This window comes from Homo sapiens, chromosome 21 (genome assembly GCF_000001405.40).
Source record: "Homo sapiens chromosome 21, GRCh38.p14 Primary Assembly".
In the NCBI taxonomy this organism is placed as follows: Eukaryota; Metazoa; Chordata; class Mammalia; order Primates; family Hominidae; genus Homo; species Homo sapiens.
The window spans coordinates 34,353,006-34,369,231 of NC_000021.9; the positions used below are offsets into that span (position 1 = coordinate 34,353,006).

At 42.6% G+C, this 16,226-nt stretch overlaps 1 protein-coding gene and 1 long non-coding RNA gene across 2 annotated transcripts in view; one reads left to right on the forward strand and one right to left on the reverse strand.

Moving 5' to 3' along the window:
- Positions 1-16,226, reverse strand: part of LOC105372791 (uncharacterized) — a 22,357-nt gene continuing 6,131 nt past the window's right edge. Inside the window, exon 3 of the long non-coding RNA NR_188571.1 lies at positions 1-1,882. This is a non-coding gene — a long non-coding RNA (uncharacterized LOC105372791). The remainder of the gene's footprint in view (positions 1,883-16,226) is intronic.
- The window catches only part of KCNE2 (potassium voltage-gated channel subfamily E regulatory subunit 2), a 7,376-nt gene continuing 2,150 nt past the window's right edge, over positions 11,001-16,226 (forward strand). The window contains exon 1 of the mRNA NM_172201.2: positions 11,001-11,146. The gene's annotated coding sequence lies outside the window, so the exon portion shown is untranslated. The remainder of the gene's footprint in view (positions 11,147-16,226) is intronic.

Below are 16,226 nucleotides of genomic sequence, written 5' to 3' on the forward strand. Positions count from 1 at the left end.
TCAGAAAAAGATACAACATTTAATAACGATGGAATGTAAATATCAAATATTTTTATTTACAAACAAATAAAAGTTTTTATATAGAACTAAAATGATTTCTATAACACCTGTTTTCACTGTTCTTCAATATTTCTCTTTTAACTTTTCAAAGATTTTCTTTTTAAAATTTTTTTTTGTAGAGATGGGATCTCACTATGTTAACCCAGTCTGGTCTCGAACTCCTGGCATGTGATCCTCCCTCCTTGGCCTCCCAAAATGCTGGGATTACAGGCAAAAGCCACCACGCCCAGCCAAGATTTTCTTTTTTTATTGTCTGTATTTAAGATATGCAACAAGATGTTCTGACGTACATATGTGGAGTGATTACCACAGACAAGCAAATTAACATACCGTTAACATATTACACCAACCATTAACATGTCCATGTTCGTGTGTGTTTTGGGGGGGGGTATGTGTGGTAAGAGCACCTAAAACCTACTCTCTTGGCAGATTTCCAGTATGCAATGTGTACAATGCTTATAAACATTTTTCTTTATTAAAACAAAACAAAAAACCGCCACATATATGGAAAGAGCTGTGCTGGATGCCTAAGGAGGAAGCTTGATGGTTCTAAGCAAAGGCCAAAAAGTGGTCTGATCTATGGAAAAACTGGAAAGCCGGCAAAATTTGCTGTGAGAGCCCTTTCTCTGCTCCCATCTGTGCTGATCTGCTTTTTTCCTACAAGAGCCCATTGGCCTTTTATAGTTCCTGGGGAAAATGAAGCCCCCACGGTTGTGCCTCCTTGAGTTCCAGGACTTCCCCCTCTCCTTCCCATCCAGTTTTAACCCCCACACACCTGTGGCCTGCACGCTGGGGGTTCTTTTCTGTTTCTTTTGATCCTCTTCCTCTTTGAAAATCATCTTTGTAAAACAAACCTAATACGGCACCATTTCCGTCCAGATTCATGCTCCAGGAAGAAAGGGTGCTGGAGGCTACAGGGGGGCCTCACAGCCCATGTGATCTCTGTGTTACATTCATTTTCCACTAACAGAAATCAAAGAACATACCCTGCCATTCGGCCTGTGACAGGGGTCTTTGTTAACTTTGGGTCTTGCTAAAGTTCAGTAATGTCAGGGCAAACAGAACACAAGGAAGCTGAGACGTTCTCTGGCTTTCCGTTGCAAACTAGGCCTGTTGATGATGGTGACAAGCTTCTCAATCCCAGAAGCATGAAGCCAGCAAGGCTGGGAAAGCACCTTGGGGGAAGGCTCCATCAGAAGAGAATCAACTTTATCAAAACTTGGTTTGCTCTATCACAGCAGCGGCATTTCAGAAGCATCCTACCAAGTTGCTTGTTTCATTGATAAACTAAAGAAACCCTACATGTTTGGAGAGTTCTTGGTGAGGCCTGTTCATTGGAAGTCGTCATGCTTGTGTGTATCTTAGAGAAGAAGAAAATTCCAGTAGTTCCTCAGTCAAATGGTGTAATCCACTCCAGAATCATTGCCATCTCTTCTAATATTCTGAACCAGGCACAGAGAAAGTAGAAGCTCAGTGCATAGCTAAATGAAATTACCAGAGATTCTCAATGCCCCCATTTCCAGCTTTTCACAAAACCATTGTGCTCACATTAATAGCATCAAGGAAAGCTTCCTACTCTGTGAGCTCAATTAGAAACGTCATGTATTGTTAATGGTTTTGAAAAGGTGAAAACTTTCTTTTCCAGAGTCTTTTTCATCGGAATGATAATCTTAGTACCTTGTAAATAGATGAGGTGGTTGATTTCATCACAGCCAGAATCTAGAATTATCACCATTCTTTTGGGATACAGTGAGAGCTTTTTTCCAGCCAGACACAGAATGGGCAATACAGGTAAGGTCCCTGTTGTCATGGAGCTCAAGTTCTGTTAGAGACAGGAAAGAAAAAAACAATCAATAAAACAGGAAAACTTCATAATTCAAAGAAGCCACGCACAGCTGTGAGACTATGCACAGGCACCATTCACACTGTAGACTAAGTGACAGCTGCCCCCGGGTTAAGCCCTGCCTTGCCTGGGCAACAGTACATGGCATCCCCACACAATTCAGATAATACAAAGTGCTATCAGGGAAATGTGAAGAAGGAAGAAGCTGTGCCAAGATTGGGGGAAAAGCATTAGAGGCAGAGAGAGCAGCGTATGCAAAGATGCTGAGGCAGTCCGTATAATTGCACCATGAAGAGGTCCCTGTCCTAATCTCTGGAAGCTGTGAATATGTTACCTTACCTGGTAAAATGGACTTTGCAGGTGTGATTATTAAGTTAAGGATCTTGAGATGGGAAGATGATCTTGGATTATCCAGATGGGACAAATGCAATCACAAGGCTCCTTATAAGAAGCAGGCAGGGGGCTCAGGGAGTGGGAGAAGATGTGATCACAAAAGCAGAGGCTGGGCCGGGTGCGGTGGCTCATGCCTGTAATCCCAGCACTTTGGGAGGTTGAGGCGGACAGATCATTTGAGGTCACGAATTTGAGACCAGCCTGGCCAACATAGTGAAACCCCATCTCTACTAAAAATATACAAAAATTAGCCTGGCATGGTGGCAGGCATCTGTAGTTCCAGCTACTAGGGAGGCTGAGGCAGGAGGATCACTTGGACCCAGGAGGCGGAGGTTGCCGTGAGTCAAGATCGTGCCGCTGCGCTCCAGCCTGGGTGACAGAATGAGACTCTGAAAAAAAAAAAGAAGAAAGAGAAAGAAGGAAAGAAAGAAAGAAAGAAGGAAGGAAGGAAAGAAAGAAGGAAAGAAAGAAAGAAAGAGAAAAAGAAAGAAAAAAGAAAGAGAAAGAAAGAAAAAGAAAGAAAAGCAGAGGCTGGAGGGATGCCAGGATGCCAGGGAGAGGGCCAAGAGCCAAAGAATGTGGGTGGCCTCTGGAAGCTGCAAAAGGTAAAGAAATGGATTCACACTCCCTCCTCAACCCCCAGAGCATCCAAAAGAAACTGGCTCTGCTGCCATCTTGATGTTAACCCAGTGAAATCCACTTTGGACTTCTGACCCCCAGAACTTTAAGATAATATTATAAATTTGTGTTGTTTAAGTCACTAAGTTTGTGGTCATTTGTTATAACAGCAATGGGAAGCTAATACAGATTCAAAGACAAAAACAAAACAAAAAGCAGAGAAGCAGGATCAGACTATGTGAGAAGATGAGCTCGCAGAAAGGACCAGCGGCCAGTTTTTCCATGGCCTGGCCAGCTGCACTAAGCATTCCGGGTTTTATTTTCAGGGTGAAAGGAACCCAATGGAGAGTTTCAAGCAGGGGAATTGCGGGCTGTGGTTTGTGTTTCCAAAAGATCCCACTGGTCCCTCTTAGAAATATGTGAATAGGGACAGAGTGCAAAGCCAGAGGCGTGAGCGGCCAGCAGTCCAGGTGTGAGCTGAGAAGTAGCTGTGCGGGGACGTGTTTGGAGAGTCAAATTATTACTATAATAATAATTATTATTATTTAGAGATGGTGTCTTGCTCTGTGGCCCAGGCTGGAATGCAGCGGCATGATCCCGGTTCACGGCAATCTCTGCCTCCCGGGTTCAAGCGATTCTCCTGCCTCAGCCACCCAAGTAGCTGGGATTACAGGCACCTGCCACCACACCTGGCTAATTTTTGTATTTTTGGTAGAAACGGGGTTTCACCATGTTGGCCAGGCTGGTCTCGAGCTCCTGACCTCAGGTGATCCACCCTCCTCAGCCTCCCAAAGTGCTGGGACTACAGGTGGGAGCCACTGTGCCCAGCCTGGAGCGTCAAATCAAAACAAAAAAACCAACAGAGCAGTAAGAAACATATTTCAATTTATTACCTTCGGGGCTAGGGGAAGAGAGACAAGTTCTAAGAGGCTTTTCGTGCAAAAATGGAAAGAACTAGGTTTAAGGCAACAGTGAGAAATGACAATGAAAAAGGCAAGCTTCTGATAACAGCTGTCTGTTTGGCTGGTGAGACGGATTGTGACTCTTCTTTGCAATTGGCCATTGTACTAGTTTATGGCACAAAAACCCAGGCACAGTTTTCAAAGAAGTTGAGATGGGGTATTAAGGGTCTGGTGGGTTCGATGTCACCCAGCACAAACTCATACACCCACGTTCAACCTGTGCAGAGTCTTTTCTTTAACAGGATGCAGAGTCAACAGTATTTGCTAGTGAATTGGGGGTGTGGCAGGGTGACCAAAAAAAAAAAAAAAAAAAAGAAATCTAAGTTAATTCTTTGGTTTTTTGGCTTACACAACTAGAAAGAAAGTGGAGTCACTTTACTGTGATAGGATAGGAGTAGGTTTGGTAGGAGAATTGAGTTATGTTTGGACATCTGAGGTTGAGATGCCTATTAGACATCTGAGTGAAAATGTCAAGTGAGCATCTTGACATTTGATTCTGAAATTCAGAGAAGAGGACTGGACTGGAGATACACATTTGCAAGTCCCCTACAAATACATGGATTTTAAAGAAATCAACTTTATTGTGGTATAGTTTACATAAAATTATACACACCCATTTTAAGTGCATGGTTCAATGAGTTTTACTCAGGTAACCACCTACAACAACCAAGATATAGAACAATTCTATCACCCTCCAAAATTGTCTCTTAATCCTTTGCAGTCAATCTTCCCCTCATCTGGTCATAGAAAACTACTAATCTGCTTTCTGTCACGAGGGATGGCTTTTGTCTTTCTGGAATTTCTAGAAATGGAATCAAACAGTACAACTTCTTTGTGTCTGACTTCTTTTGCTCATATAATCTTTGTGGGATTCATCCCTGTTGGTGCATGTATCATTTATTTGTTCTTTTTTATTGTTGAGCAATATTTCATTGTGTGAATAAAACACAATTTGTTTACCCACTTATCTGTTGAGGGATATTTGGCTTATTTCCAGTTTTTAGCTATTTTGAATAAAGCTGCTATAAACATTCATGAGTTTTTGTGTGGCATATTTTGAAAATTTCTCTAGGTAAATACCTAGAAGGGGCATTGTTGGGAACTTTTGATCTAGTTACCAAACTGTTTACAAGTGGCTGTATCATTTTACATTCCTAAGGCAATGTATGAAAATCCACTTAGCCCACATCCTCACCAACACTTGGTGTTGTCAGTCTTTTTAAATGTAGCCATTCTGGCCAGGTATGGCGGCTCATGCCTGTAATCCCAGCACTTTGGAAGGCTGAGGTGGGCAGATCACCCTGAGGTCAGGAGTTTGAGATGAGCCTGGCCAACATGGCAAAACCCCGTCTCTACTAAAAATACAAAAATTAGCTGGGTATGGTGGTGTGCACTGTAATTCCAGCTACTCTTGTTGAGGCAGGAGAATCACTTGAACCCTGGACAGGGAGGTTGCAGTGAGCCGAGATCTCACCACTGCACTTCAGTCTGGGGGACAGTGAGAGATTCCATCTCAAAAAAAAAAAAAAAGTAGTCATTCTGGTGAGTGCGTAGTGGTATCTCATTGTAATTACAAGTTATATTTCCAATGACGTTGAGCATTTATGTGCTTATTGTATATATTTTTTGGTAGTGTCTGCATAAACCTACTGTCCATTATTATTGAGTCAATTTTTTTTCAAATGATGAGTTCTTTATGTATTCTAGATGCAAATCTGTTGTATATTCTAGATACAAATTCATGGTGGTTATTTTTTTCAGTATATTACTTGCCTTTTTATTTTCTTAATTATGTTCTTCAAGGAGTAAAAGACTTTAATAATGATGAGGCCCAATATATCAATATTTTCCTTTTATGATCCATGTGTTTCAGTCTTTGTTTCCTCCATCTGCTTTTAAGATTTTCTCATTGCTTTTGATTTTAAGCATTTTATGCAAAGGTGTGACTTTCTTTGAAATAATTCTCTTTGAGCTTTTTAGTTCTTGAACTCATGGCTTGATTTTTTTAAAAAGCAGTTTTGGAAAAAATCTCATTCACTATTTCTTCAAATATTGCTTCAGCTTCAGCCACTTTCTCCTCTCTTTCTGGGACTCCAACTGTACTTCTGTTAGTCCTTTTTCCTGTATCTCTCATACTTTCTTGGGTGTATCCTATTATTTTGTTCTGTGCTTCACTGTAGATATTTTCTGCTGACTAGATTTCTAATTCACTAATCCTCTCTTCAGCTTTGCCTATGCTGCTGGTAAATCCATCCACTAAATTGATACATTTAAAAAATAGATTTCTGCGGAGATTCTATTTATTCTTGGGCTGACTCTGGAAATTTATATTTTTCTGGCAAATTATATATTTCATCCAAAACTTCAAATTGTATTTCCAGAGTGACTTTTTATTTAGTTGATTCTATTTTTATTTGTTTTCTCTTTTGTTCCTTTCTGTTTTTGTTCTAAAGTTTCATTTATTCTACATTTTTAGTTTATTTTTTGGTTCTTTTGCTTTTTGAGTTTAATGAGTTCCTATTATTTTCCTTTTATTTATTTTTATTTTTTAGAGACAGGGTTTCACTCTATCACCCAGACTGGAGTGCAGTGGCACCATAATAGCTCAGTCTAACCTAGAACTCCTGGGCTCAAGCCTCTTCCCACCTCAGCCTCCTGAGTAGCTAGGGCTACAGCTATGCACCACCATTCCCAGATAATTTTAAACAATTTCTTTTTTATAGAGATAGAGTCTCAGTGTCTCACTATGTCACCCAAGCTGTTCTCAAACTCCTGGCCTCAAGTGATCCTCCTGCCTCAGCCTCCCAAAGCAGTGGGATTACAGGTATAAGCCACCATGCCCAGCCTCTTTTCCTTTTAGTGAATTCATTTACTGTATAAATTTGCCTCTAAGGTTCACATTGTCTGCATCCCAGAAGTTTTCAAATATATGGCAGTTCCTTTGTAATTTAATATCTTATTATTTATGTGTTTTCCTCTTTATCCATATGTTACGTGATGATATACTTATTTTTTGGTTTTCAGATATATCAAGGTGTACAGACTATATTTTTGCTGATTTATAATTCAACTGCATTGTAGTAATGGAACCCAGTCTACATAAAGCTGATATTTAAAAATTTGGTTGGACTTCTTTTGTGACCCAGCACATGGTGAGTTTTTAAAACCGTTTTATGGACACTTATAAAGAATGCACATCATTTGTTGGTTAGGTGTGGGTTCTCTCCATCTATTTTATAAAGGTAATTAATTCTATTACTCAATTCTATATGTTTACTTTTTAAAAAAATCTATCAGTTTCTGAAACCTAATTCCTACCATTGTGCATGCCTCAATTTCTTGTAAATCTGCCTGTTTCACTTTGAATATTTTGAGTCCATATACAAGCCCATGATTTTACTATCTTCTTCGCAGGTTGTTTCTTTTATCAAATTGTAGTGACATTTAATATCCTATGGATCACCTGAAATTTCAGTTTTTCTTAGATGTCTGCATTTTAGCCTTAGCTTGATATGTTTTTTCATCACCTTATTTTCAACTTTTTATTTGTTTTTATTTTAGATGTGCATCTTTATTTTGTATTTTATTTTTTGAGACAGAGTCTTGCTGTTTCACCCAGGCTGGAGTGTAGCAGCGTGATCTTGGCTCACTGCAACCTCTGCCTCCCAGGTTCAAGTGATTCTTATGCCTCAGCCTCCCAAGTAGCTGGGATTACAGGCATATGCCACCATGCCTGGCTGATTTTTATATTTTTAGTAGAGATGAGGTTTCGCCATGTTGGCCAGGGTGGTCTCGAACTCTTGGGTTCAAGTGATCCGCCCGTCTCGCCCTCCCGAAGTGCTGGGATTACAGGTGTGAGCCACCAGCCCCAGCCTAGATGTTTATCTTTTAAGAAGCATATAGCTAGATTTTATTTTGTTATTCAGTTTAATAATACTTCTTTTAATAGGTACTTATTTTAAAGGATATTGTGATTATAGATATATTCAGATATTATCTTAGTCATTGGGGCAGTTATAGTAAAAATTATAAACTGGATGACTTATAAATAACAAAAAGTTATTGCTCATAGTTTGGAGGCTGGCAGGTCCAAGACCAAGGCACTGGCAGATGCGGTGTCTGGTGAGGTCTCCCTCTTTGATTCATAGACCGTGCCTTCTAGCTGCGACCTCACATGGTGGAAAGGGGAAGGCAACCTCCCTGTAGCCTCTTTTAAAAGGGCATTAATCGCATTCACGGGGTCTCCATCCTCTTGGCCTAACCACCTCCCAAAAGCCCTACCTTTTAGTAATATCACATGGGGAGTTAGAATTTCACTATATGAATTTTGGGGGGACACAAACATTTATGCCACAGCAGATATCTTTCTACCACCTTATTTGGTGATTTCTGGGTTTTGTTTGTTTGTTTAAGACAGAGTCTCGCTCTGTCGGCCAGGCTGGAGTGCAGTGGCACCATCTCGGCTCAATGCAACCTTCGCCTCCCCGGTTCAAGCGATTCTCCTGCCTCAGCCTCCCAAGTAGCTGGGATTACGGACGTGTGCCACCACGCCTGGCTAATTTTTGTATTTTTAGTAGAGACTGGGTTTCACCATTTTGGCCAGGCTGGTCCCGAACTGCTGAGTTCAGGTGATCCACCCGCCTCGGCCTCCCAAAGTTCTGGGATTACAGGCGTGAGCCACCATGTCCGGCTGGTGATTTCTGTTTAAAAGTTTTTTCTTAAAGTGTTTTTTCCCACCTAGTTTTTCATTGAATGGGTAAAACATTCTACATTTGCTTTTATTAAAACAAGAAATGAATTTTGCTGCATTTCAATTTATAGATTTTACTATCCTACCTCGTGCCAGGTTCTGTGCTAAGTGCTGTATATATCTGTGATCACATTTAACTTTTATAACAAGCCAAATGAGCAGGAACTCTTATCTCTATCTTACAGACGAAGAATCCAAAGACCAGGGACAGTAAGTAATTTGCTCACCTGGTTTGCCAGCCTCCATGACACATCGCCGTCCAGTTCTGCCTTTAATTACCAAAGCACAACACGCTGCTTTGATTCCCCTCTCCTCGGCGCCAGAATTCAAGAGTGAAGTTAAACCGCAAGGGCTGAGTTAGAAGATTGGCCTCAGTTCCCTGTTCCCACCAGCAGGTGGCACCGTCTCCTAGCGGAATTCTTACTTGAACGTTTTGCTTCCATTTCTGCAGAGGCATGGTGAACACAGTTACACCACCAAAGTGTTCCTCCTGGCTGAGTTTGCCTATCTTGTTCAGTGAAGACAACCCATGAGGACAAATGGTGTTAATGAGAAGCTTTTGCGGAGTTACAGAGATCCTCGTATTTCTTTAAAATACACCTAATAACGTTAACTCTGCAATAATTTGTAGATCATGTTAAATCTTAGCTATCTTCCTCTTGCCACCCAGTGTGCTTCAAGCCACATGGTTCAGAGCACCATTTAATGTGAAACTCCAATTTTAAAACAAAGTGAACCTTCCTTTTACAAAACCATGAGACAAGTTACAGAGTAATGACCACCCACATGACCTTGAAGTGATTTTGAGTGAGTGAGTGTAACTTCCGTGGCTGCCATTTAAATTGGATTCAAATCCAAATGGCTCCACCTCCATGTCATCAGACCTCTTGTGCCCTGATTCCCTTGGCTAAGTTCACAGTACCTTCCACATCAGGTTGTGGCAATGATTACCTGAGGTTAATACGATAAAAGCACATGGTAAGCACTCCTAAATGATAGCCAATATAAAGACTCAGTTCTCCCAATTCCAAGGGTCCCCACCATGATAGAAAAGGATCTTTTGGTAAATAGAGTATGTTTAGCTCTTGCTAGGTCTTTAAATACTTTGCTGGGGGCCAGGCACCATGGCTCACACCTGTAATCCCACCGCCTTAGGAGACTGAGGCTGGAGGATCCTTTGCGGCCAAGAGTTTGAGACCAGCCTGGGCAACACAGCAAGACCCTATTTCTACAAAAATAAAAATAAAAATTAACCAGGCTTTGTACACACTTGTAGTCCCATTACTTGGGAGGCTGAGGCAGGAGGATCCCTCAAGCCCAAGAGTTCAAAGCTGTAGTGAGCTATGATTGCGCCACTGCACTCCAGCCTGGGTGACAGAGTAAGACTCTGTTTCAAAACAACAACAACAAACAAAAACCTCAAAACCTCTTTGTTGGACTTAACTTCCAGCTCCTCCATGTAGTACCTTAGTACCCTTGCAGCCCGTTTCTCTTTTACAAGACAACAATGTTGTTATAAACTCATTTGGATGTGGTCCCGTGGAGGAGTATTTACCAGAATCTAGCTTATTTAGCGTCTTCAGAACACGGCACTTGCCTGGAATTATACTGACCCCCTCAACCCATACCAACCACCCAGAGATGGCTGTTCTTGGCTCCTCTCCCTGGGGCCCTGTCCTTCCCACATCGTCTTCTTCTTCTTTCTTCTTCTTTCTTCTTCCTTCTTCTTCCTTCTTCTTCCTTCTTCTTCCTTCTTCTTCCTTCTTCCTCTTCCTCTTCCTCTTCTTCTTTCTTCTTTCATTGAGACAGAGTCTCACTCTGTCACCCAGCCTGGAGTGCCGTGGTATGATTTCAGCTCACTGTAACTTCTGCCTTGTGGATTCAAGTGATTCTCCTGCCTCAGCCTCCAGAGTAGCAGGGACTACAGGTGTGTGCCACCACACCTGGCTAATTTTTACATTTTTAAGTAGAGACGGGGTTTCACCATGTTGGCAAGGCTGGTCTTGAACTCCTGATCTCAGGTGATCTGCCCGCCTCAGCCTCCCAAAGTGCTGGGATTACAGGCGTGAGCCACCCCACCCAGCCCTTCCCACGTATTCTGGCAGGGAATGCTGTTGTCCCCCAAGCCTACCCTAAGAGGAAGACTTCTTCTGGGGAAAGATGTTCACTGTACCCAGGCCCTGCCCTGGCTGGAGCTGGCAGGAAGGGTCCCAGAGCAGGAACTTGTGCCACTCTGCCCAAAGCCAGAGTCCCTGAGGCACACACCCCATCAGGCACCAAGGTGAATTCCAACTGCCAGTTAGTATTTAACTTTCCACATACGATTAGATTAAACATGTGGGTTCATAAAAGCATAGGATTGCAGACTGCAGTTGCAAGGGCTTAGATGGTTGTAAGGTGAAGGTGCCCAGCAGGCTGAGGCTTGTGTGCAACCCAGAAGAGAGCTCGCTAACGCCAGCAAGAAGGTTCAGAACAGCCTGGCTTTGGAAAGGAATTTCATCCTGCCCACACACTGCATAGGTAAGTCTTAGCACACATTCTTTATTTTTTGAGGAATTAAGTAACAAAGTTATCTATGTGCCTTTTCCAGAAAATGATAAAAGGAATGATTTTCCTGGTACATGGCCTGGCTCCTCATCCACTCTTCCTTCTTTCCTTCTTGTGTTTTCCTTACTCATTTCTTTGTTAATTGCCTTAGAATGAAAATTTTGAGAGTTTTTAAAATGGAGGATTCATGGTAAACGTAGGTAATCATATTGTTTTCTCTTCTTGATATAAAAATGAAAGACTTTGCTGCCTTTTATAGGCCCAGGTGATGTGAGCGATCTACCATGTTTCAAGAAAAGAAAACTTTGGGGCTGGGCGCGGTGGCTCACGCCTGTAATCCCAGCACTTTGAGAGGCTGAGGCAGGCGGATCACCTGAGGTCAGGAGATCGAGACCAGCCTGGCCAACATAGTGAAACCCCATCTCTACTAAAAATACAAAAAAAATTAGCCTGGCGTGGTGGCTGGCGCCTGTAGTCCCAGCTACTCAGGAAGCTGAGGCAGGAGAACGGCATGAACCCGGGAGGTGGAGCTTGCAGTGAGCCGAGATCACGCCACTGCACTCCAGCCTGGGCGACAGAGTGAGACTCCATCTCAAAAAAAAAAAAAAGAAAGAAAAGAAAACTCTGGACTTTGGGGTCAAATGAGTGTTACTTTCCTAATAGTGTCCTGATTGCTGTTGTCATGAATAACACACATTCATGACAGGAATGGCTGGAATTAGGGGATCATTCTGTAGCCTGGAGACAGGGCACAACTAATGACATGTGTAAGCTCAAATCATGGTCTTGATCTTATGTCTTGTACCCAGTTGAGCCAACTGGTCACAGCAATGAAAACAGTGAGTTATTGGAATGTGTGACCTCTGCTAGGACAGTCAGTGCTGGACACTGGCTTGGGTGATGTGAGTTCTAGTCCAGGCACTGTGGCCAACTTGAGAGGCTTGTGATCTTGGACAGGTGACTTAAGCCCTCTAGGCTATAGTTATTCCACCTATCAGAGAGCAAACCAGCCTAAATGATCTCCAGGGGCCCAGCCTGTGCTAGGACTCAGCAAGAAGCATTCACTGGAAATGTAGGTCCTCCTAGGTTGATACACATGAATTGCCCATATTTGACCATTTCTAACCTATATAAATGGCTATTTCATATAATTCCAGAGAACATAAATGGTAGTTGTCTTAGCATTACTAAAGTAAATGCCTATTATGATATTCTACTTAGGGGTAGGATAAGTATGTATACCAAATATGGTTTGTTTCGATTTGATTTTTGAGACAGGGTCTCACTGTCACTGCTGAGTGCAGTGGTGTGATCATGGCTTACTGCAGCCTTGACCTCCCAGGTTCAAGCTATCCTCCCACCTCAGCCTCCTGAGTAGCTGGGACTATAGGAGTGTGCCATCACATCCAGCTATTTTTTTATGTTTTGTAGAGGTGGTGTCTCGCTATGTTGTCCAGGCTGATCTCGAACTCCTGGGTTCAAGCGATCCTCCCACCTCGGCCTCCCGAAGTGCTGGGATTACAGGTGTGAACCACTGTGCCTGGCCTCCAAATATGGTTGATGTCTATCAGTCAGTTAAACAGTAATTCTGGGAATAAAAAATTGAAATCAACCCACTTATAATTGGAATGTCTTAGCATAATGTCCTTCAACGAAGCTGCTTTCACACACTGTGATTTGTTTTTTTCCTGTGGTCATGGAGCAGGCATGGGCCACTCGGCCACATCTCATGCATCCGTATTCAAAAGCCAAATCCCTTTTGGATCCTGTTTATTTGGCCTGGCCACGGGTGAGCACTTAGACATTTAATCCCTATAGGCCCTTTCATCCCTGTGATTAAGTCTTATCAAAAAGCACCTCCTGACCGGCTTAGCAGTGGGGCCTTTGTTCACATTAGAAGGGTTGAACAAATAATGGGCAGTTGGGGCTGCTTAGCTCTAAAAGGCTGGTGAACGCTGCCATGCCTGCACCTGGAAACAAACCCAAATGACTCCAGTGGAATTCAGCACTGAAGTCCCTCATCTCAAAGACCTTTTGTGGCAGAGACTCTTGGATGGGCCTTAGGGGTCCCAGGAGTCCCCTGAAATTGAATGTAGAGCTTCCTACGTGCATAGGTATACTTTCTTGGGGAAAAATTAAGTCACATCATTTTATTTTACTTTTCGAGGGATCTTTAACACCGCCCCTCCCCCACCCCCAATTCCCACACCCCTTAAGAATAAATTAAGAATCACTGTTCTGGTAGTTTCCAGTTGAATTCCACAGAGGAACTGTCATTCATTCACACCTTCATTCAACAGATTTTTAGTAAAGATTTGCTACGTACCCATCGCTGTGTAGGGTCCCGGGATTCAGAGATGAGTAAAGCAATCCCTGCCTTCCGGGGGCTCAAGCTCTCCTGTCATCGGGACTCAGTTACTGAATCTCACTAAACATCCTGAAGGTAGGAGTTTATAGAGTGGTTTTGAGGATCACATGAATAAGCACACAATACATGGGTAATTCAAAAACGAAAACAAGGCCGGGCACGGTGGCTCACGCCTGTAATCCCAGCACTTTGGGAGGCCAAGGTGGGCGGATCACGAGGTCAGGAGATCGAGACCATCCTGGCTAACATGGTGAAACCCCGTCTGTACTAAAAATACAAAAAATTAGCCGGGCTTCGTGGCGGGTGCCTGTAGACCCAGCTACTCAGGAGGCTGAGGCAGGAGAATGGCGTAAACCCGGGAGGCAGAGCTTGCAGTAAGCCGAGATCGCGCCACTGCACTCCAGCCTGGGCAAAAGAGACTCCATCTCAAAAAAAAAAAAAAAAAAAAAAAAAAAGGAAAAAAACAAAACTAACATGGTCATTTGCAGAAGGGGCAGAAAAAGGGTCTCTGCCTAGACCTGGGGAGGTCAGGGAAAGTACTATGGATTGGTAACAACCGGCTGGGCTTCCTACAAGAGAAAAAGACTATACTCACAGAGCCAGACCCCATCTCAAAAAAAAAAAAAAAAAAAAGTCTGGCATGGTGGCTCAAACCTGTAATCCCAGCACCTTGGGAGGCTGAAGCAGGGGGATCACTTGAGCCTAGGAGTTTAACAACATAGTGAGACCTCATCACTACTTTTTTATTTTAAAAAAGAGTTAATAAAAAATAAAATGAAAATAAAAGGGTAAAAGAGCCAGTGGCAAAGTCTTGAGTGGATTAAAGCCAGCTCAGCTAACTTTCACAGCAGACTATATCATTTTAAAGGGGAAAAAGCACATCTCTGTTACATTGCTTAGGAAATATGCTTGGTATATACCCTGGGGCAATCTTATCTATTTGTTAAGTTTCCTTCCAACCCACTAGCCTGTGTGGCCAGGAGAGGGAGACAAAGATCTTAGAGCTCTCTAAATAATAGAACTTAAAACATCAGACAGAGAAGAGTATATTATCTTGGTGATGGTAATTCTCAATGAGGAAAATCCTGGGGAGGGATGTTCTGTGGGAGAATGCCTGCAAGTTTATTTGTTTAGTAGGTTTGATTATTCAGCTGATTGAAATTCCTTTCCCAGATGGGGAGATCTGATTCTCTTTTCATGAAGGAAAGAAAAGTCACATGCTAAAGAGACGGGCATGTCTTTAGAACGGCAGCAGGCAAACCCACTGCTGGGATCCTGGGGCTTTTACTAGTGGCTAGTCACAGGTTTACCTCCTGCCTGTGCTCCTTCTAGCTGTGTTGAAACCCACTTGCCCCATCTATGAACCGTGTTCAGCTCCATTTTCTGAGCCCCCTTATCTTTTTGTCCATACCTGTTGCAACTCTTTGCACGTTGCATTGTCATTGATTTGGTCTCTCCCATTCAACTGAGCCTCTCACAGAGTTCCTGTCACCTCTGCAGTTTCATCGCCTAGCATAGTACCTGGCACTTTAATTCATGCATCAAATGTCCATTGAGTGCCTTCTATGTGTTAGACATCTGCTATACCGAGCTAGACAAAGTTGGCAGACATGACAGCCGAGTGGAAAAGATGAGCCCCTAAACCAATAATCACACACACACACACACACACACACACACACAATATATATATATATATATATATATATATATATGTATGTTATATATATGTATGTTATATATATGTATGTATGTATGTATTAAAAAATCTTGGCCGGGAGCGGTGGCTCACACCTGTAATCTCAGCACTTTGGGAGGCCGAGGCAGGTGGATCACGAGGTCACGAGATCGAGACCATCCTGGCTAACATGGCGAAACCCCGTCTCTACTAAAAATACAAAACATTAGCCAGGCGTAGTGGCGGTTGCCTGTAGTCCCAGCTACTTGGGAGGCTGAGACAGGAGAATCACTTGAACCTGGGAGGCAGAGGTTGCAGTGAGCCAAGATCGCGCCACTGCACTCCAGCCTGGGTGACAGAGCGAGACTCCGTCTCAAAAAAACAAAAAATTTTTGCCTTGCAATCGTTTGCCTTGATGTTATGTCTAAAGCCCCACAATTCTCTAAAAACAGAGATGTATAAAAAAGCACACGTATATAATTCTCTGAAAACAGAATATAAATGAGTCATTGCTCCATTTAACTGACATTTGTTGAGTGCTTGTTATAAATATGGCATTATTCTAGCTGGTGTGAGGTTACCAATTTTTTTTAAACAAAAGTAATATGAATATATACACACACATTTAGTGACTGCATATGTGATGTGTGCTTTTGAAGAAAAAGGAGATGCTGTTGGAGGAAAATGGTGGTGGTGGTGGGAAGTGATTTAGAGTAGAACCAGGGAAGTCTCAGAAGTGACAACTAGCTGGAACCTAAAGAACGAGGAGGTAGCAGGTGGAAGAGAAAGGCAAAGGCATTCTAGGTTGAGAGAATAGGATGTGATAATGTCCCGAGGAAAGAGAGCTTACTGACAGGGAGGGAAGATGTCAGGTGTGACCGAACTGTAGTGAGCAAAGGGTAACTGAGGAGGTGGTCAGGAGCCTGCTCAGCCAATGGGGTAAATACTGTTAAGGAATTAGGACTTGATTTTAAGAACAACCATCGCATCATTTTAAAAGCAAACAA